Below are 22,362 nucleotides of genomic sequence, written 5' to 3'. Positions count from 1 at the left end.
TTGTTTTGTTTTATTTTGTTTGTCTAGATTGCAGAAGGAAAACAGCCTAATTTGTAAAAATCAGAGAGCTGATTTGTAGGCCAGCTCTCTGAACTGACACTAAGGCGAGTGAGAAAAGCCCGGGAGTGGGGCTCCAGGCCTGGCTGTCATTTATCATTTGGGGGAATTGGGCAAGCCAGGGTTCTCTTTTGAAAAATGGTAAAAATCACCCTTACCTAGTTCAAAGCATTGTTGTAAAGACTGTGCAAGGTGATATGATGAAAGAGTTATAAAAATCATTGTGTGTGTATCAAGGTGTGGTGTCATGAGTCACCTCTCCAAGATTAGAAAATTCAAAAATCTGAAAAATACTACACGATTTAAAAAATACTTTAGGGAGTTCAAATCATGTTTCCTGTTATAAAGATATTCACTGTGATCAGCAAGTGAGTCATCCAGCCCCAAATCTTCCCAATACCTGAAGCACTAAATGTTAACCAGGAGGTATTTGTTATTGAGGCAAGGGTCGGGGGCAGGGGAGAGGCCACCTGGACTCAGGGGGCTTATGGTGAAGTCAAAAACCAACACTCCTAGTTCTATAATTTGGACTATAAGCAAACTCTTTTGTTATGGCAAATGAAACAAGACAGGAATAACAACAATACGCCTAAAAACGAAGCAGAAATCATAGCATAAGCAAAAAGGTACAATGAATGCGTTGCCGGTGTAGAAGTAGCAGTTCTCCTTTGGCCTTTTCAGAAACACAAGGACCCTCTAGTTAATGTTTCCTTTGGGGAATAATGTCACTTCTGATAGCAGGGGTTGATTTCCTACCAAGCAAATATAATGCTTCATTGTTGCTGCCATTTCTTCTCCAGGCTATGACATTTGTCTAGCACAGTAGATTTCAACTATAGCTACGCCAGAAGCATCTGGGGAGGCTGCTACACACGAGACTATGATTGGGTGGGGGTTCTTAACAAGTATACAGGGGTGCTGATGCAGGACCTGGGCAGATCACACCCTGGGGGTCCTGACTATCTGAGTAAGTCACTCTCTAAAGAAGGTTGTGCCTTCAAGTAAGGTTGACAGGTGATCATTATAAAACACTTTCTTCTCTGCCTACTAAGTATATCCACTATGGGATTGAGGTGTGGGCTTCCAGTGTCTCAGACCCAGTGACACATGCTACGAGGGCAGGTTGTTGGTTAAGTCAGTCACTGTACAGGAGCAGGCTGGGTGTTCGCTCCTGGTCTTCACGATCACATTTTATGTGACATTTTGTCATTTTATCCAAAGAGAAAGACAAACAACATGGGATGAGTAGTGACAAGTATGTTTTAGGTATAAACAAGGGTTTGGTTCCAGTTACAAAGCTTTATATGGTGGTCTCCTGAGGCCTCTACAGACCCTGATTTTTAAATTTCATTATTTATAGGACATTTGGAGTCTCAAATATTATCTTGAAAGATTAATAGTAAACAGGAACTGAATTCCAGAAGGTTGAGAGACTAGGGATACAAAAGATTCCCACCGAGTACCAGGCTGGTGGGGTTCTTGCCCTTGTTGTGCGTACGTGCATGCCATGACCCTGCTTTAGCCCTTACCTGCATCTGGGATGCTGTCCACAAAAGTACGGAATGATGTAAAATAACCTGGGGTTGGAGCACTCGGGATAGTTTTCAAGAATACACTCATTGATATCCTAGAAGAGAAAATACAGCAGTCAGATGTCTTGTAGTCTCTGCAAGGCTCTATCAAATGCCACACAGTTTAAGTAAAATTCATGATTGAATTACACAGGCACGCCTTGAGAAGATGAAGAGAATTCACAGATTTCATGAGAAAACTTATTTTTTGCCTCCCAGCATCCTGCTCCACTGGCCAGGCACACACAGGGCTGGGCCATTTTAGAGAGTGCATGCTCTGTTGAGTAAACTGCATCTCTGCACTTCCTGGTGGCTCCGAGTCTTAAGTTTGGTCACAGGCCTTGGGAGAACAGTGGTACCCACTGTGCTTCGTGGTGGCGCCACCAGTTGCCAGCCAATTAGTAGGTATACAGTTGGCAATTAATAAATGTTTGTTGCATGAATTTAGGGCTTCTCTGTGTATCCATGCATCCAACAACTAAGTACCTACAATAGTCTCATAAGAGTTTGCAAATTTTAGAGGAGCTGTAAAATCACTTCTAACACTATATTAGCTTAAAAAGTAGCAGGATGTTTATATACAGACACCCTCTCACTTTCAAAGGCAACAGTTGTGACGTCCAGGTTTTCCATTTCTCTTATATGAGGTTGGACATGGTGTTTCTGAGGGCGTTACCAGAGCTTGAAATGGCTTGGTGGGGGTAAGCAGAAGGGCTCAAAACCAACTTTTATCAAGGTAGATCATATTAGAGATTCTAAATAAGACATGCCTCATTCTCAGGTATTTCTAAGGAGAAAAGATAACTCAATCTACAAATAAACCAAACAGCTGTAGGATGTTTTTCCAGAGACTATACTGGCAAGGCAGATTAAGACTGGACACAACTCCCAAATATGGTTGATGAAATTATGAGTCGGTAGAAGCTACTGTATCTGATATACATGTGTGGGTGTAGGTGTTTAGGTGTGGGTGTTTAGCTAGTAACAATTTTTTTAGTTCAAATTGGGAATGAGAGAAATATAATTTATGCTTTTTCTTAAAAACAATAATCCCCTCATACTTCTTCAGTTTATATGCCAATTAAGTAAATTACACAATTACAATAACAAATTCAACGGAAATAAACAGAATCTGCAAAAAACACAATTGAGAGTACTCAAGCACTTGAGTTTACCATGAGAGGCGGAGGTGCAGTTTCCAGGGAGGAACATATGAGAAGTGAATAGGGGGGTGCATATGTCTGTCCAGCCATGTGGTGAGGGTGATTAAGAGCATCTCATTGTGTATGAAAACCCATTAAAATGCAAGACACTAGACCTGAAATACCTTTCTAAGAAGAGTTTGACACTGACAGATGTGTGTGTGTGTGTGTGTGTGTGTGTGTGTGTGTGTGTATATATGGATATTCATTGCTGCAATGAGTTTATTTATTACAACAAAATATGGCAGAATTTACATGTTCACGAACGGGGGATTGGTTTTAAGAGAAATTATGGTACATTCACACACTGAAATACTGGATACCTGGAAAAAATGAGAAGGATCTGTGTGTGCTATCCTGAAAAGTCTTGGATAAATTTTCAAGTGAATGAAAGTATAGACTACAGGACAATATAAACATGTAGGACAATATAAAAATCAACATGTTTACATAAACACAAAAGGATCTGGAAGGAGACACAGCACACGATTGAAAGCAGTTTTTTCTGGTGGTTGGCATAAAGGAAGATGAGAATATACTGAATTTTTCCTTATTCCTTTTTTGAAGTGTTAGCTTTTATTACAATGTACGCATCTTACTTTTTTTGTTTTTTTTTTTGAGACAGAGTCTTGCTGTCCCCCAGGCTGGACTGCAGTGGCGTGATCTCGGCTCACTGGAAGCTCCACCTCCCGGGTTCACGCCATTCTCCTGCCTCAGCCTCCCGAGTAGCTGGGACTACAGGTGCCCGCCACCACACCCGGCTAATTTTTTGTATTTTTAGTAGAGATGGGGTTTCACCGTGTTAGCCACGATAGTCTCCATCTCCTGACCTCATGATCCGCCCGCCTCGGCCTCCCAAAGAGCTGGGATTACAGGCGTGAGCCACTGTGCCCGGCTGCATCTTACATTTATTGTGAGAAAACTGTACAGAGATTTACACACTGTGAAACAAACCAAAGCTTGTGCGGGCGGGTGCCTGTGCTTTGCCTTGAGGATGCTCTGAGCCCCCTGCCCTGCTCACATTTGAGGGTGTCCTCTGGTAGTTGGCCTCCCCTTGGAACCTGAGCCTTTAGTCCGAGGGACCCAATAACCCTGGTGGCCTCCCTCTGCAGCAGTGGCAACAGGGAGGGGGCCAGGAGCTGGGTGAGAAGCAGAGCCTAGGGTGATTCTGGCCAGGACAGTGTTCATCTGCTGAGGTCGAGATTTCACAAAGAAGGACGGAGTAAAGTGATGGGGAACATCCAAAGAACTGTCACATACGCAGTCAGCCCCCCAGAGTCCTGCATTAACAGGAGGAGCAGGGCATCAGAGACCGCCAGAGCCTCCTACAGAGGCTCTCATGGCACCTGCTGCTTCTCCAGAGCTGCCCTTGAGCAAGTACTTGTGTGCTTATTTGTTTAGGTTGTAGGTCCCTCAGAGCACAGACTGTTCACTGCATCTCCAGTGCTCAGCACCCTGCCTGGACTAAAGCAGGAGTGCAATAGATACTGAATGAGTGAGTGAATAAATGGCAGAAGGAGAGAGACAAGGCACACTGCTCCAGAGCAAGAAAGGAAGCAGACACCTCTTCCATTTGCTGACCCTGCCAGGGTTTTGTCCTCAGCAACCCCGGGCTCATAGGAGTAGACAGAGGGCATCAGCTGGCTGGTGAGGGGAGGGCGGAGGAGGCACTGGGGCCTAAGAAGGCCACTTCCCTATTGGAATCCACAAATAACCTCACGAGGTCAATTTATAGGAAGACATAAATTCCTAGTTTTAAAAGTGCAGTTAACAATTCTTTTCTTAGACCAAGACGCATCCTGGGGGATTTCAAAGAGTTCCATTTGAGCCCATTAGGTTGATGAACGGCATTCATCACAACCCATCTATGGTGATGCTATAGGAGGATATAAATAAAGATGACTGGACCGGAAGATCCAGAGGAAGCAGAAATGAGCTGAGAAGCCCCAGGCATGGAGCTGCCAACTGCTTGGCCACAACCACAATAAATGGGGATGCTGCTGCCTGGCAGCCTGAGGACCAGGGGCCTGCAGGAAACTGCTCCTGGCACCTCCTACCCAGTCCACTCTTAGCAGAACCGAGACCTTCAGTGAGCAACATTTCAGCCTCCTGGGAAACTAAATGAGACCAATGAGCTGCACTTACAGTGGCCTGTTCTGACGGATGCCTTTCAGTCTCCTAGGACCATTTGGTTGCCCTGGTGTTCATGATTTATCTTTGGTCTAAGATTTATTATCCTGCATTGTTTTACAATCACCTTTTAATACTAAAGTTCTCTCAGCACATATATTTTCTAAATGATTACGCAACTTCATTTTTTCCTTCCATGTAGTGCTTCTAGGGTAAGATTGCTTTTTTAAAAAAGAAAAAAAAACATTTAATATGGATTTCAAACTTTTGTTTAAGATTGTCACTGCATTGATGACTTTAGCCAAGCCAGCCTGCTTGCCAGCACCTGATCTACGACTTGCTCCTCTGGTTCCTGAGTCTTGGCACACACCATGGGCACCCCTGCAGTGCCCTTCCCTGCCAAGTCTAGCCCTTTTTATCATTGGGTCTTAACATAAGACCCCACGCTGCTCAAGATTTTGCATTATTAGGGAAATGAGATCATCTCTCTGAGTAAGCATTCCAGATAACTATGAGAATCCTTTTCATTGCCAACACTGTACAAAAATTAATCCATTTGTGTTGCAATGTATTCTAAACTGTACTATTTTAAAAACCATATGCTTTCCTCCCTCTAGATTTTCTTTGTGGGCTCGTCTTTTTCCGTTCTGATCTTACAGCAAAATCGTCTTTTATCCACTTGCTCCTGTAATGTTTCCACCAGATGGATGGTGATGGGTGACTCTCATCTTTTGAGTCTAAAGGGCCGGCTGGTCTCAGAGGAAACTCCAGTCACTGCCTCCAGTTCCAGAGAGTCCTTCCTGAGGCCTCTCTCACCCTTACTCCCACACCCCCTCTTCACCCCCACAGGATGATGACAGCAGCTTCTCAGCCAGCAGCTCTTCCTTCCACCTCTCCTCCCTGTGTGCAGCCTCCAGAGGTGCCCCAGTCTGCACTTCCTTGCTCTCCTTGGAGGACTCCTATTGACAGTGCAACAGGGATAACAATGGGGCACCTGATACAAACTGTGATTTCCCTGGCCAGACTTCCAGGGCATTTGATATGCAGGGCCAGGAATCTGCATTTGAAAGAAACTCTGGTGACTCTGAGAGGATGGTCACTCTTCATGAGCTGTCTGTGTATTAGGTAATTCATCTCATGCCTTTGCTCTTCCTCTCCCTTGCCACCTCCCTCCTCACCTAGTCTCAATAGCAGGCCCAGGTTTCTGGCGGGGAGAGTTAACATACTCCAGTCCACCTGGGCTAGCGCTCACTTGGGTCCAGGAAAAGGAGACAGATAGGACCATGGGCTTCCTTCCATGCTGGCCATTCACTGCCAGCCACATCTGGCAGATGGGGTCCCTGGGACAGGGCTCAGGTGCCACATCGCATACTCTCTTCCCTGTTGGCTGGAACCCAAATGTCTCCAGGAGTGGGGTCTGTCTGGAACCTCATCCATCAGCTGGGACCTGGCACTCTAACCTAGTTCTAGTTCTTAGGCTAGATCTGCTCCCAACATTGGGAGTGGCCAGAATTCTTTTAGAAGTGGACAGACTTCCTCATGGTGCCCATGAAAGGACTTCCAAGCTGGCCTGAGTGCTCCTGGCATCCTGAAATAACCTTCCCACCCACCTTGCAGGGGCTCCTCTGTGTATCGGCACTTGCTTCACCCACATGAGGGCTTGCTCTAGAGATGAGACACTGCGCTGGAGGCCTGGACACCTCCTACTCCCTCCCTGTCAGCGAATTTTCACAGCCCTGCCTCCTTCTCCTCACTCTGCACTGCCAGGCCCACAGGCCTCTCGTCTGCTTCTGCCTGAGACATAAAACTGCTCTTTTATTTCTCTGTACATCAAGAACTAGACAACTGCTTCCTCTCTTGGATTTCAGTTTTAATTTTAGAAAGGGTGGAAGGAAGAAATTCCCAGGTGGAGTTAATTTTATCACAAAAGGTGAATTTAGAGACGATTCATATTTTACTTATCCTTTTATAAGACAGCACCTTGTCTGAAAGCCACTGAACTGAAAAAAGACTTATTGGTGTTTTTACACAGCTCCATGCTTGAAACATGGATCAGTTTTGTCCATATGGCCCATGGCTTTCAAAGACAGGATTTCTGGCTGCTTTCAATAGCAGAATCCTTAAGAGGCCATATGCAAAGTTCCCTGAATGAGGAAAAGGAGATTTGGGTGCTGGTCTCAGCTCCAAGATTAATTAGCTCCAAGATTAATTAGCTGGGTGTCCTCAGCTAAATCGTGCCATCTCTGAGCCTCAGTTTCTCTCAGCTACATAATCTCAGTCGATGAAACTGCAGATGGACGTACCTGGTACCAACTTTTTTTTTCTCTTTTTTTTTTGAGACAGAGTTTCGCTCTTGTTGCCCAGGCTGGAGTGCAATGACGCAATTTTGGCTCACTGCAGCCTCTGCCTCCTGGGTTCAAATGATTTTTCTGCCTCAGCCTCCCGAGTAGTTGGGATTACAGGCAGCCACCACCATGCCCGGCTAATTTTTTGTATTTTTAGTAGCGGCAAACTCGAACTCCTGACCTCAGGTGATCCACCTTCCTTGACCTCCCAAAGTGCTGGGATTACAGGCGTGAGCCACTGCGCCTGACAATAACCAACTTTTAAGAATAGTTTTATAATCTCAAGATCTAGAAAAGGCTGTAATTTCTTAGATACCAAAACTTACGAGTTAATACAAGGCTTTTACTCTGCATTTATCATTTAAACTTTTTCACCTTTCATGAACGGCAGAGAGAGAAAACCACCAAGGTTGGTATCAGACAAACCTCAGTTCAAATCTTGGCTGTACCTCTTGTGAGTTGTGGAGTCTTTGGCAAATGTTCACTTCTCAAAAGCTCAACTTCTTCATCTGGTAAAATGAGGACAATAATACTTGCCTCATAGACCCTTTGCTAAGATTAGAAATCATTTATACCAGTTACTTTACCTGCCACTCACCTGTTAAGATTATGCCATCTTTATTATACCTTCAGCATTTCATTCCTTTTTACTTAATCTTATATTCAAAAACACCATTCCTGGTGATTCTGATAGTTTTTTTTTTTTTTTTTTTAAATAGTGACTCTGGCTAACTCACAGAGAAAACAGAGAGGAAGAAAAATACAGAAACATGTAATGTGCTATGTCAGTCAAAACAACAATACAATTTAATGGAAACACAAACGGTATTATGCAAAATATACCACTGTGGAACTTTGGACTTCTTATAGCTCATCTTACTCTGCACATGACGCAATGTAACACGATGATATAAAAAGCTCTTTTTCAATGTGGACTTAAAATTGATTTTTGGAGCCAGTCTTCACACGCTAAAAATATGGATATTATGGAAAAGGACGGTTTCTTACGCTGGCTGTGTTAGAAGTGGGAGAGAGAAAAATGACTGTCATTCACCATTGAGGCAGTACCCAAATCCTTGACCCATAAGTGGACCACGGTAATCAGAGTACAAGTTTAATGGGTTAAATGGAATGGATGTGGTCTAAGTTAACTTTTATTGCCTCATACACTCTTCCTTGTAAAAGGCTTTTTTCCAACCTTGTAAAAAAATCTGAGCCAGAACCAGAGGAGTCAAACAAGACTTTTTAGTGAGGCTTAATGGATTGGAAAGTGGCAGATGGCCAGATACCATCATTCTCCCATTCCATGCTCATGTCTAGCATGAATCACTGATGACACACTCTAGTTGAGATGGGAAGTGTCCTTCGGAATTCTCAATACAGCCATCCAGGAAGCATCAGCATCAGGCAGAGAAGCACGTTGCTCTCCCTGTTGTAAGCACAGCTTGCGATGTTGGATATTTAATATCTGTGGCATCTACCGTAGTGGCTTTCTGGTCCTTTACACTACTTCTGAGTTTATGGCTATGTGTCTGATGGCAGGATGGCAGATAAAGAATTTCTGGATAAGTGAGACATAATGCCAACTTTACTTTAATTATTTCGTTTCTTTTTCATATGAGTTAAGTAAATCCTTAATAAACAAACTGGCTTTAAAATTATTGGGAAAATAAAAGTGGAAATGCCTTTTTGTTTGTTTGTTTTTTGAGATGAAGTCTCGCTCTGTCGCCCAGGCTGGAGTGCAGTGGCACGATCTCGGCTCGCTGTAACCTCTGCCTCCCAGGTTCAAGCAATTCTCCTGCCTCAGCCTCCTGAGTAGCTGGAACTACAGGCACATGCCACCCACACCCGGCTAGTTTTTGTATTTTTAGTAGAGACAGCGTTTTGCCATGTTAGCCAGGCTGGTCTCGAACTCCTGACCTCAGGGGATCCACCCTCCTTGGCCTCCCCCAAAAATAGAAATGTCTTTGGAATTGTCAGCATACATGCTTTTTTGGGGGTTATCTATCACCTCAAACATTTATTCTTTGTATTACAAACAATCCAATTATATACTTTTAATTATTTTAAAATGGACAATTAAATTATTTTTGACCAGAGTCACACTGTTGTGCTAGCAAATACTAGGTCTTATTAATTCTGTCCAACTATGTTTTTGTACCCCTTAATCCTCCCCACTTCTCCCCGCCACTGCCATTACCCTTTCCAGTCTCTGGCAACCAATCTTCTACTCTATCTCCATGAGTTCAATTATCTTAATTTTTAGCTCCCACAAATAAATGAGAACTTGCAAAATTTGTCTTTCTGTACCTGACTTATTTCATTTAACATAATGACCTCCAGTTCCATTCAACATGACCTCCACGTCATTGCAAATGACAGGATCTCATTCATTTTTATGGCGGCATATCTACATTTATTTTAGCGAATATCCTTAACTCATTGGGAGCGCTAGTCCAGTGGAGCTCTTAAATTCTGAAACTGAAACACTTACGGACACAAGAGACCAAACATTTTTTGAAGTCATTCATTTGGATTCCAAGAGTGTGAGTTTCCAGTTTCTATTGCATTGAACTAAAGACAAATAAATAGTCACAGTTTTTTTTTTTTTTTTTTTTTTTTGGTTGAGACGGAGTCTTGCTCTGTCTCCCAGGCTGCAGTGCAGAGGCGCGATCTCGGCTCACTGCAACCTCTGCCTCCCAGATTAAGCGATTCTCCTGCCTCAGCCTCCTGAGTAGTTGGGATTACAGGCACGTGTCACCACACCCGGCTAATTTTTGTATTTTTAGTAGAGATAGGTTTTCACCATGTTGGTCAGGCTGGTCTTGAACTCCTGACCTCGTGATCTGCCCGCCTCAGCCTCCCAAAGTGCTGAGACTACAGGCATGAGCCACTGGACCCGGCCGAAATAGTCACAGTTTTATGCTGAAATGTTCCATTATAAGATGAAGACCAATCTAGTATCCAGCTCAGTTTTCATTAGATTTTTGGTAGGCTCTTTTCAATGAACTACAGCAAAGTTTACTAAGCATTTGAGATGCCTGTGGGCAGGACCCTGTGGAAGCTGTAGTGCCTCTCCCCCAGAAATATCCCTGCACTTCTTCTGGTTAACACAGTGTCACTCAAACAAGGAACCGCGGTCTTTGAGGTTCAAGGGGTTTTGATGCTTTTCAGAGATGTGGAGCCCACAACTACAATGGTCTCACAGAGAGTCTGGAAAACACGTGGAGCCTAACCAAATAAAAATAACACATCCTGATGGAGTCAAACTGGCTAACAGACAAACTGGTTGCTTCTATTTCTATAACAAAATATTTATCATAGTTACATTCCAATTCAGTTATAGAGATTAGGGAACTTGTAGTACATGTCATTGTAAATAACTGCAGTCATTTAAAATGTTTACAAAGAATATGTAACTATAGGAAAAATGCTTATCTGAGAAAGTCGGGATAAAATTATATATATATAATATGACTACAACCCTAGTTTTTTTTTTAAAAAAACTTATATTTTAAAGATAGATGGGAAGAAAATAAATTTAAAAAAATTTAAATGATTGGATCTAAGATGGTAGAATAAAGGATTTTCCCCTTTTTCTATTTTGGTCTTAAAATCTTATTTGATGTATATGTGCTATTGAAAAAAATTCAAAAATGTTTGTCAAAGTAATATGTACATGTCAAAAAAAAAAAAGACAAAAGGTATAATGAAAGCAACTGTCTCTTGTTCTATGCCTCTCTGCCTCTCAGTTGTGTCCCTCAGAGGTTAAGAATCCCATTTAGCTGGATTCTATGTCTGACTTGCTTGTTTTACTCCCTCGTTTTGCTGAAGTAATTCCTCAAGTAACTTTTTGCTTTGCTGTTTTCTAGCTTACAAGGAATTTGTTGCTAATAATGTTCTCAATAACTTGCAGGTGATGTGTGTCTGTCTATGTGTGTGTGTGTGTGTGTGTGTTTTAACATCAGAGAAGATTGTGTGCTCTTTAACATTTCTCTCTCTAACCCTGATTTTCTGAAATCTCACATGGTAGACCTAGCATTGTGCTGAACACTTAGCAGGCCCTTTTAATCTGGGGACTCATGTCTTTCAGGCTTAAGATATTGGTTTCTGTGTGTGTGTGTATGTGTTTAAATAATCTTCTCTCCTTCATTTTCTGCATTCTTTAATTCTAGTTTTCCAATTGGCTTTTGAAACTTGAATGATCTTTTATAATCGTTACTCTTTCATCTTTTCTTACTCTGTCTTTTTGCTCTTCTAAGAGATTTTTTGATCTTCCATGTCCTTCCACTGAATTTTTGATCATGACAATCATATTTTAATGTCTAAGCGTTCTTTCTTGATGCATGCTGATTTTCTTCTTACAGCATCCTGCTCTATGTATGGATGCAACATTTTCTCCAATCTCTCTGAGGAAACTAAGTAAAGCTCCCTCTTAAAGCTTTATTCTTTTTCCTGAAATTTGTCTCCCTTAGGATTATTGTTTCCATTTGCTTATTTTAGCCCCTGTCTTTTAAGGTGCAGTCTTTCTTCAAATAGCTATGGATGTTTTCTTGTCCATTCATATTTAATGATGAGTCAGGAAAAACTGATGGAGAGCTGTGCTGACATTGGTAGCGTTTATAACCAGTGGGCTGCACCATCCTGCTGGTGATTATTTAATGGCCAGGTTGGGAGGTCTTTTCTCAGGAAACATTCAAATACTTTGGGAATGAATCAATTTTTCACCCAATAGACGGCTGCTGGGTGCTGGGCTTTCCCAGGTAGGGATGAAATAAAGGGCTTCTCTTCCATATAGACATCTCCAGTTCATCCTTCTGCTGTCAGCCTCTTGCTTTATCCATCGTCCCTGGCATTTCCAAATAAACCTGGAGTCTTATTCCGCTGTATTTTCTCCTCCAAATGCACTCTAGACTGTGGCTTCCTGGCCCAACTTTATCAGTTACCAACATTGTATGCCTTCTCCCAGGTACAAGGGTTTCAACCTTGTTTTTCTGCTCACTGTTGCGTGTCTCACCCTTTAACATGTCCTTATTATCATCTTAAGGGTTAGGAGAGAATTAAGTGCTGCCCACTTGCCTTCTTATGCTGAAAATTGTCCAACAAGGGCGAGTTCCACCCACCTCAAGCACATACACCATGAATCATGTACAGATGGAGAAACGGAAATAAAATCAATGCAAAGGAAAACTTAATGGCAAACATCTAAGACCTTAGAAATACTGATTGCAAATCCCTGTAACTTCAAAATGGAATCTTATCTTTTGACTCAAACATTAATGCAACATTTTCACATGTTAAAATGTCTACAAATATTAAAAATGCCTCATTTTTTGCAAAATAAATTCCTGCCTCTGTGGGAGATTTCAGTTTTTCTCCCTCAAGGTTATAGCAAATTGGCAGGAAAATCTCTCACTAAATAAGTTAGCTCACGGACTGCACAGCAAGGCACCATAACCAGCAGCAACAGCTGGTGACTTACCAGCTGTTAAGTAAGGTAATTTCCTTACCCTAACCGTACTGCAGCAACAGTTTATCTCTTAAAGAAGCCAGGAGGCAAGTTTAAATAGAAATTTGTGAGTATGAGCAACATGGGAAGAAACAGACTAAACAAATAGATCTGGGCTCTCACTGCACCTTAGAAAGAAAAATGAAATACAAAAATGTAAGACAGCAAGAGGAAGCAACTGGCCTCTTGGTTTTTCAGGCTCCTTTGCTCCTTAGGAGTAGGGACAGATTGGCATCTCTTTCTTACAGCCAAAAAAAAACCCCCTGTCTTAAATGTTTGCCTGGAGGTCGGGCGCGGTGGCTCACGCCTGTAATCCCAGCATTTTGGGAGGCCGAGGCAGGTGGATCACCTGAGGTCAGGAGTTCAAGACTAGTCTGGCCAACATGGTGAAACCCCGTCTCTACTAAAAATACAAAAAAAAGGCCAGGCGCGGTGGCTCACGCCTGTAATCCCAGCACTTTGGGAGGCCGAGACGGGCGGATCATGAGGTCAGGAGATCGAGACCATGGTGAAACCCCGTCTCTACTAAAAAAAAAAAAAAAAAATACAAAAAATTAGCTGGGTGTGGTAGCGGGCGCCTGTAGTCCCAGCTACTCAGGAGGCTGAGGCAGGAGAATGGTGTGAACCCAGAAGGCAGAGCTTGCAGTGAGCCGAGATTGCACCACTGCACTCCAGCCTGGGCAAAAGAATGAGACTCCATCTCAAAAAAAAAAAAAAAAAAATTGGTCGGGTGTGGTGGTGTGCACCTGTAATCCCAGCTACTCAGGAGGCTGAGGCAGGAGAATCGCTTGAACCTGGGAGGTGGAGGTTACAGTGAGCCAAGACCACACCACTGCACTCCAGCCTGGGCAACAGAGTGAGACTCCATCTCAAAAAAAAAAAAAAAAAAAAAAGCTTGCCTGGAATGACGTCTTGATCACTTTTTGGAATGTTTAAAAAACAGTAGTTGAATGCATGAAGTTAGCCATGATTTTGTGATAGAAGTCCAGTTAAGAGAAGTCATTCATTCATTCTCTCTACTGGAACTTGAAGTTCCTAAAATCATTCAGAAAAACCTGTCAACTACAGACAGAAGATAATAAATGAGCATAACATACCAAGACAGAGACGATGTTGACTCTGTGGTTATGGAAAGTGGGAAAAATGCAAAATGGAAGATCAGTTCAATATTTATGGCATAGAAATAAAAACCACAATGATATACCATCTCACACCAGTCAGAATGGCGATTATTAAAAAGTCAAGAAACAACAGTTGCTGGCGAGGCTGTGGAGAAATAGGAACATTTTGCACTGTTGGTGGGAATGTAAATTAGTTCAACCATTGTGGAAGACAGTGTGGTGATTCCTCAAAGATCTACAACCAGAAATACCATTTGACCCAGCAATCCCATTACTGGGTATATACTCAAAGGAAGATAAATCATTTTACTATAAAGATATATGCATGCAAATGTTCACTGCAGCACTATTCATAATAGCAAGGACACAGAATCAGCCCAAATGCCCATTGGTGATAGACTGGATAAAGAAAATATGGTACATATATACCATGGAATACTATACAGCCATAAAAAGGAACAAGATCATGTCCTTTGCAGGGACATGGATAAAGCTGGAAGCCACTATCCTAACAGCAAACTAACAAATTAACACAGGAACAGAAAACCAAACACTACATGTTCTCACTTATAAGTGGGAGCTGAACAATGAGAACACATGGACATAGGGAGGGGAACACATACTGGGGCGTGTCAGTGGGGTTGGGGGAGGGAGAGCATCAAGATAAATAGCTAATGCATGTTGGGCTTAATACCTAGGTGATGGGTTGATGGGTGCAGCAAACCACCATGGCACATGTTTCCCTATGTAACAAAACTGCATGTCCTGCACAGGTATCCTGGAACTTAAAATAAAATTCATAAAATATGGTATAGGATGAGTGCAAGAAACGCCCACTGTGAGTGGACTGCAGGTGGTGGTCCTGTCCAATTGTTTTCAGTTAGTTACAAGGACCTCTTTGGCCACAGTGGGGACCCTCCTTGAGGCAACCCTCTTCAGCCACCCTCAGGTCTGCACTGCTCCCTCTTCAAATCTGCCGCTGTCCTGGGTGTGATTGTGTTAGTGTGAACCTTGTCATTACTGCCTTTCCCCAGTCTCTTGAGGGCCTTTCATCCCTCAGTCATCTGGGGCTCTCTCTGGCTTTCTTCTCTGATTCCCATCCATCAAACATGGCTCTCAGCTAGGTGTCTGGTGGAAATGAGTTCATAAATTAATGCACACAGAAGAATAAATAAATAAGTTATCAAGCTCAATGTGCTTCCAAGAAATACTTGCATTTTAGTGGAAATCAGTCCTTTAAGAAATGAGGTCTAATGGTGGTGGAGAGAGGGAGGGAGAGAAGAAGGAAGGGACTAACCTTTACTGAGTACCAATCATTTTATTCGGTAAAAGCTTGTGGAAGGAATGAAAAGTACACTGGAGACTTTACTAATTCTATCTCATTAAATGAGCAAAGTTCGGGCCCACTGTCAATTTGGTGAGAGGCAGAGAGACACTGCTGAGGTTGCATGCCCTTTTTCTTCTCAGAAGGCTCCCAGAGGTCACCTTGAACTTCCTGTCAGATCCCGAATTCTTCTCCAGCTTCTGGAGTCTTCTTTCCTCTACAGCCAGGGCCGCTCAACCCTCTCCAATTCTATGGCTGATCCTGGACCCAGAAGAGAGGGATGTAAGGAGTTCCCAGTAAAAGGAAACGTCAACATACACAGAGGGTCTGTTGGGGAGGTGCTGGATGGGCAGGGCTCCAAGACCTCCTGCCCTACCCAAGCCAGAAGAGCTCTGCTTCGCCTGGGTTTACATATTGGGTTCTCTGTAAGGCTTCATTTGATACAAAGGTTCTAGATCTGAGAATCATTGCTCTAGGCCAGCATGCTGAGACTCAAGACATCTGATCACCAGCCTGGGCAACAAAAAGTTGTCTCTACAAAAAAGTTAAAAAAAAAAAATCAGCTGGAGGTATAGTGGTTCATGCCTACTGTAGTCCCAGCTACTCAGGAGGTTGAAATGGGAGGATCACTTGACCCTGGAGGTCAAGGCTGCAGTGAGCTGTGATCGCACCACTGCATTCCGGCCTGGGCAACAGAGTGACACTCTGTCTCTCTCACACACACAAAAGGCACGTGATCAGCTAGCATGACCCTATTCCTGTGCCCTAGTTCTGCCCATTGTACTTCTTCCTTGTTTCTGAGATTCGGGCCCACCTGGTTCTCCATTTCTTAACTGAAGCCATGTTTTGCTGCCTGTATCTGAGCCTCTGTCTTACAAGCTTGCTCAGTACTCCTGGTTCATCTAGATTCTATAAGAGTGTGGTCTGATTTGCTTTCACTAGGTACTACCTCCAGTGGAATAGAGTCTTGCTTGTGAATATCAAGCCAGTCACCAGGTCCGGTTATTAGCGTGAACTTTTATGTTACCTACTCCTGGATTTGGGGCCCCTTCCTGGGGCACCATGGGCCCTTCATCATGTCATTGCTGCTTCAACTTGCCCACTACCACTCTCTGTTCTGTCTGCCTCAGTGTGGACATCCGGCTCTTACACTGCTCCCCACTTCTCTATATAAGCAGGTCCAGGAAGTCTGATCTCAATAACTGGGTCATGACTGCTGGCTCCCAAGATTAAAGAGCACCTTGTGGAAAAAACAAAAATGTGAGAAAACCTTTTTCTTCTTCCTCTCCCTTCTGCAGTCCAGCTGTTGACAATTCTATTCCTCTGCCCACTTTACCTTCAAAGAAAAGAGGGAGCTACCTCATCCAAGTTAACAAGGGGAAGAGTAGGTTTTTCGTGTGTACAATAGCATTAAATACTATGTTCTATTAAATACTATATTCAATATTATATTAAATACATTAAATACTATATTCAATAGCATTAAATACTATGATCTATTTTCTAAGTGCCAAAAGTATCTTTTAAAAAACATGGCATCATTTGCTAGAAAGAAATTTAAGTTGCTGTAATTCGGTCTATAATGTCATTATCAGGCATTTCCAGCAAAGCGTGTCAATTCCTTGATTATTTTGGTTGTCATTATCTATTGGGAATGAATAGAGGCCCTGCACGTCTATTAAATGCTGGGGACGCCAGCCTGGCCCTCAGGAAGGCACACAGGTGGGGTGCTGGGCTGGCTTCCCTAATTCCACTCTCTGAACCTTCTAAAAGCCACACCTGCAGATTCAATGCTCTTCCAGCCTCCGGGGCAGGAAGAGCTGCCAAATACGCAGAATTTTGCCAGGTTATGTGGTCATTTTATTAGGCGAATAAAAGTCTACAGATTTTAGTGCAAAACCACTGGGCCCAACCCAGTTTTGTACAAACATTTTCGAAGGTAAAAGTGGAATACATTATCAGTCACTAATTCTCACCATTATAGTGTTTTTGGCTAACAATCATTTTCCTTCTGTCTATGATGTCAGAAACCTTAGCACAAAGAATGTCTTTCAGCAGAGGTTAGCCCCATTGGGAATTATTTATAAAACTACTAGGTGCCTTAATGTTTTTTTTTTTTGTTTTGTTTTTTACCAAATTGGACATCAAAATGACGTTAAAATATTTTGGCAAAAATTTTGGGGCATAAATTTTACATAATCATAAATTATAAGGACTGAATCCAGTGGTTAGTTGAATACTGAGGAAAAAGGGGTGGGAGAGAGCTATTATTATCTTTAATGCCATTGATTAGAAATGAAATGCAAGGTAAACTTCATTTGGGATTCTAACTTTAAGTTTTCAACCATACTATTCTAATACAGTTTAAAGGCCTTGTATAAAGGCATAGTTCCATTGGCCATAGTTCTATCATGCCACGATATGGTCTACTGCAATTTTATTTCAGAGATTCTTAATTTAGGGTAGTTCAAAATGATTCACTCATTGTGTTTCAACAATTCAAACTGGAATCTCCAACCAATGAATGCCAAGATTCTTTAATTACATTATGAATTAAGGCATCTACTGTACATAAGGCATCACAGTAAGCACTCTGGCTTTAAGCGACCAATGAATAACTGGATTGATTTTCCTTTATTTGTAGTTTATAATATGTAACTATGCTAATACTTATATAGAATATCTTCTTGGTAGTTCTCATTATTTTTATGATTTTTTAAAATTAATGCCTTTGCCTTATATTAAAATGTGTCATACGGCCAGGCGCAGTGGCTCACGCCTGTAATCCCAGCACTTTGGGATGCTGAGGCAGGTGGATTACCTGAGGTCAGGAGTTCGAGACCAGCCTGACTAATATGGTGAAACCCCACCTCTAGTAAAAATACAAAAATTAGCTGGGCGTGGTGGTCTGTGCCTGTAGTCCCAGCTACTCGAGAGGCTGAGACAGGAGAATTGCTTGAACCCGGGAGGCGGAGGTTGCAGTGAGCTGAGATTGCGCCACTGCACTCCAGCCTGGGTGACAGAGTGAGACACCATCTCAAAAAATAAATAAATAAATACATAAAAAGTAAAAATAAAAATGTATCATGTTATTATTCCTACACTAAATTTATTTAGTTTTTAACTGGTAACTCTCTCCAGTCTCATTATTTTCAGCCTCTACTTTTAGTAAATGAACCTTTCTATTTTTAATAAATTAATTTAATCATTTACTTTTAGTGAGATTAAAATACTTAATTTCTGCACCTTACATTGCGTTTTTTAAAATTTGCTATTCTTTTTTTCCTGCATCTTTTTTCTTTTCATGTCTTCTGTTGGTTTAATAGAGTTTTTAATAATATCCCTTCCCTGTCCTCTACTGCTTTAGAATCTAAGGATTACATTTTACCCTTACATTTTTTTTTTAACATTGTAAGATTTTTTTTCAAACACATGGATGACTCTTACAATTTAAGAAAATAAAAATAACAAAGGAGCTTAAGATACTTTCATTACTGAGAGAGTCTGAGGAAGGGCAAAGAATTTTAAAAATTCATTTGTAAATAGATGATGAGAAAGATAAGTAAATGGAAAAGTCATTAAATTTTTTTTAACATTCAAACTTGATTAAATTTTTTCTAATAAAGCATGAAGTAATTTGGTTTTCTTATATTCCTCCAAATCGGAGATGAATTTTAGCAACTTTATCCATTAAACACCACTCACCTTTTTAAAGTTGCCTAATTGTAATCTTTTTTTAACATACAAACAACTTTTAACACTTAATATTCAACTCATTTTACTAACATTGTTTTACTCAACAGCTCTGTTCACTGTTGCTTTTTATGCCCTTGTACCTTAATTTCCCCCATAATTCATCTTTTAATAATGCTTTTAATGAACTCAGTAAGTAGGAAACTCTCTGTGTCTGAAAAAGGCCAGTGGAATGATTGTTTAGCTGGGTATAAAATTCCAGGTTCACAATTTTTTTATCTCAACACTTTGAAGATATTACTGTACTGTCATCTGATATCTATTGTTGCTGACAAGAAGTCTGCTATGAGCCTAACTATGATTCCTTCATTGGTCATCTGCTTTGCTTCCTTTTCCTTGATATCTTCAGTTTCACTCTAAAATACTTGTGTGAATATTTAAATTTGTTTAATCTGTTCAGTACTCCCAGTGTACTTTTAGTATGAAGGATCACATCTCCAGGCCAGGCGCGGTGGCTTATGCCTATAATCCCAGCACTTTGGGAGGCCAAGGTGGGCAGATCCGAGGTCAGGAGATCAGGACCATCCTGGCTAACATGGTAAAACCCTGACTCTACTAAAAATACAAAAAAATTAGCCAGGCGTGGTGGTAGGTGCCTGCAGTCCCAGCTACTCAGGAGGCTGACGCAGGAGAATGGCATGAACCTGGGAGGTAGAGCTTGCAGTGAGTCGAGATCATGCCACTGCACCCCAGCCTGGGTGACAGAGCAAGACTCTGTCTCAAAAAAAAAAAAAAAAAGAATCATCTCCAATTTTGGAATATTTTGTCCTTTAATTGCTTCAAATATTTCTTCCCTAACATTTTTCTATTCTCTTTTTTCTGGATCTCCTATCAGATGCCTGTTGAAACTTTACAATATTTTTTCCATGTCTCTTAACTGCTCTATCTGTCTATCTGTTTCTGAATTCCATTCTTGGTGAATTCCTCTTGACTATTTTCTAAATCAATTAATATTCTCTTTAACTTTATTTAGCTTAGAACTTATCTATTAAATTTTTACTTCAATAACCATATTTTTCATTTTACTTAATTATTTTAAAGATATCCTCATGTCCTTGTTTCATGTCTCTCTTACAATTTTCTGCTCTTTTTAAATGGAAGCTATTCATTCTTTTGTCTTTTCAAACATCCTAGGCACACTTATTTTAAAGACTTTGTCAGGTTGTTCCTTAAAGCCATCTGGAGTGTATTCATATTCCAGTACTAGATTTTGCTGCCTGCCTTTCTTGGTATTGGATTTTTTTTCCATGTTCCTTAGAATGTATGGTCTGTAGGCTCATTTTGGGTAGGAGATTCATAATCTGTCTCCGTCTTCTTCCTCTCTCTGCTGCCTCTCTCCTCTCCCTGTCTCTCTTTCTTCCTCCTTCTCACCCTCTGTCTTATTCTAGTGGTTTTGTGGCTTCTACCATCCGGACTCCCGGGTCCTGAGTCCAGAATCAGGTCTTAGTTTTACTTCCCATCTTATGAGAGCAATGAGAATATTACACATTTGCTTACAAAGGAGCAAATAGTTTGGTTCACTTCTTACTTGTGAGTTTGTGGTTTTGTTTTTCCACCTCTGTATATCTCTAGCCTCTTATAAGGGCATAGTTCCAGGCAGAAGATGAGCAGTTGCTACGTTTAACTTCCTTTACTTGGAAAGTGAGGGGAAGTGTGGCTTCTCACCCCATGCCTTGGTTTAAAGCACTGAGCCTGGTCTGGCCCTCTTGTTGGCCAGGACACTTCTAGTCTCCTTGACCTTGTCCTATTTCTGGCTGCCACTACTGGATTCTGGACCAGAGCCCAGCTGGCCTGTGGATTCATCATTGCTCACCACTCAGGAATTCCTCCATGCATGAGGATGTTCTTATTTTATAATAAAGCTGGTAAATCCTTTGGATTTCCTCTTTTTATATTCTATCAATCATTACAATATATTTGGGGTCAAGAGAGTGTGAACTCAGTATACCATCTTGATTGGGAGCCCTGTATGGGCTATTCATGCTTCTTTGCTACAGGAAGGTCTATCAGAGGAAATGCTGAGTGTAGAGGCATGGATAACCTGGGATGTAAGGAGTGAAACTTGCAAAGTTAGAGGAAAGAAGTTGAGTAAGATGTCAAGTCTGTGCCAAAGCAAGGTCACATGTTTAGAGAAACGTAATCATTTTTGCTCTATATGTCAGAGGGTAAAGGACAATGCACAGTTTAAGTCAGACATCAAACAGCATTATTCCTGAGGGTTCTTCTTACAGACCCTGTGAGACACTGTTACATCATAGCAGTGAGTTTGTCTTAATGGTGTTGCTTTGAGTCTATTATTAGTGTTGCATGTTGCCAAAAGTTCCAATATTTGAAGTATGCCATGAATATAAAAAGTTATAATCTTTGTTCTACATATTCTGTATCAGAATTATATTCTAACCTAGAAGATTTGCTTCTCTGTATTACGGTATCCACCCAGTGCCAGATAGGTGTTCTATTATAGTTTCTAAAAGTGGTCTTTGAAGATAATGAAATTTTTATTTGAATTATGCTATGCCTAGCAAATCACCATGGAAGTCTGGGTGTCTAATGAAAGATTTCAGATGATACTACTGTTTTTCAATAAACAACATCATAAAAATTTCACCAGTAAAGTCCAGAATACAAGTACCATTAAATTTTGAACAAAAAGTACTTAAGTGTTCATATAGATAAAGATATATCATTGTTGATACTTTTTCTTGCTAGATATCTGCATGACTGAAATGACATTATATGACCTATAAACTACTCCCTGCTGGAAAAGGTGCATTCCAGATGCGGGCTCCACTCAGAGGAATAATGACTTCGGGATTTTGCATCTTGGTTGTCTGTGATTCTCATCTCTACAGCCCAGAAGGAGCCACATGGCTGGATCTCTGCCACTGGCTGACTGCTGTGAGTGCTGCAAGTGCTGCCTTGGTTAACCAGGCATGCACCAGCCACCTGGGCTGCAGTGCTATGCTGCTTGCTGCATTCAGACCAGCACATACATGGCAGCAGCCTCGGCCTATAAGGGGCTGCGCTGATTATATTCTGAAGCATACAGTCAATGGGACTATCTATCCTTCTAATATTGACTCATCTTGAGATGCTGATGAAACTCTTAAAATAAGCAGGAGGTCGGGTTTATGGATGGGCCCGCATCCCTACCCGCTACTTAGCCACACAGAAAATGGAGAGATCACCATTGTGAGTTTTCTCTAGGAGGGGCAGTGTGATATTATATGAATGCACTGCCAGTGCATCCTATGGGGGCTACAATTTTGCTATTCTCAAGCTTAAAATAATCATGGAAATATATTTTAACTTTTTTGTGCTCTGCATGTAATACCAGAAGGAAAAGGTGT

The 22,362-nt window shown here is 41.5% G+C and overlaps 1 protein-coding gene across 6 annotated transcripts in view, besides 1 other annotated feature; it reads right to left on the bottom strand.

Annotated features, from left to right (window-relative positions):
* Positions 1-22,362, bottom strand: part of UST (uronyl 2-sulfotransferase) — a 329,961-nt gene that overhangs the window by 56,168 nt on the left and 251,431 nt on the right. For 3 of the 6 annotated variants that reach the window (XR_007059195.1, XM_047418048.1, XM_011535378.4), the window contains one exon: positions 15,234-15,520. Coding sequence is in view for 2 of the 6 variants with exons in the window: in XM_011535378.4 (XP_011533680.1) it covers positions 15,509-15,520 (12 nt within the window). In the remaining 4 variants the exon portion in view is untranslated. Of the gene's footprint in view, positions 1-1,586; positions 1,685-7,995; positions 8,867-15,233; positions 15,521-22,362 lie in introns of those variants that run through there. The other 3 variants (NM_005715.3, XM_047418047.1, XR_001743088.3) reach the window with 3 other exon arrangements.
* Positions 5,650-6,204: an enhancer, noted in NCBI's record as "OCT4-NANOG-H3K27ac-H3K4me1 hESC enhancer chr6:149335755-149336309 (GRCh37/hg19 assembly coordinates)". NCBI's record gives its function as "activates a minimal SCP1, AML or CMV promoter by ChIP-STARR-seq in primed H9 embryonic stem cells {active_cell/tissue: H9 hESC(primed)}" and the evidence as "EXISTENCE:reporter gene assay evidence [ECO:0000049][PMID:30033119]".

This window comes from Homo sapiens, chromosome 6, assembly GCF_000001405.40.
Source record: "Homo sapiens chromosome 6, GRCh38.p14 Primary Assembly".
Lineage (NCBI taxonomy): Eukaryota > Metazoa > Chordata > Mammalia > Primates > Hominidae > Homo > Homo sapiens.
The sequence above is the reverse complement of the archived record's forward strand: the minus strand, read 5'-3'. Positions and strand labels throughout refer to the sequence as shown.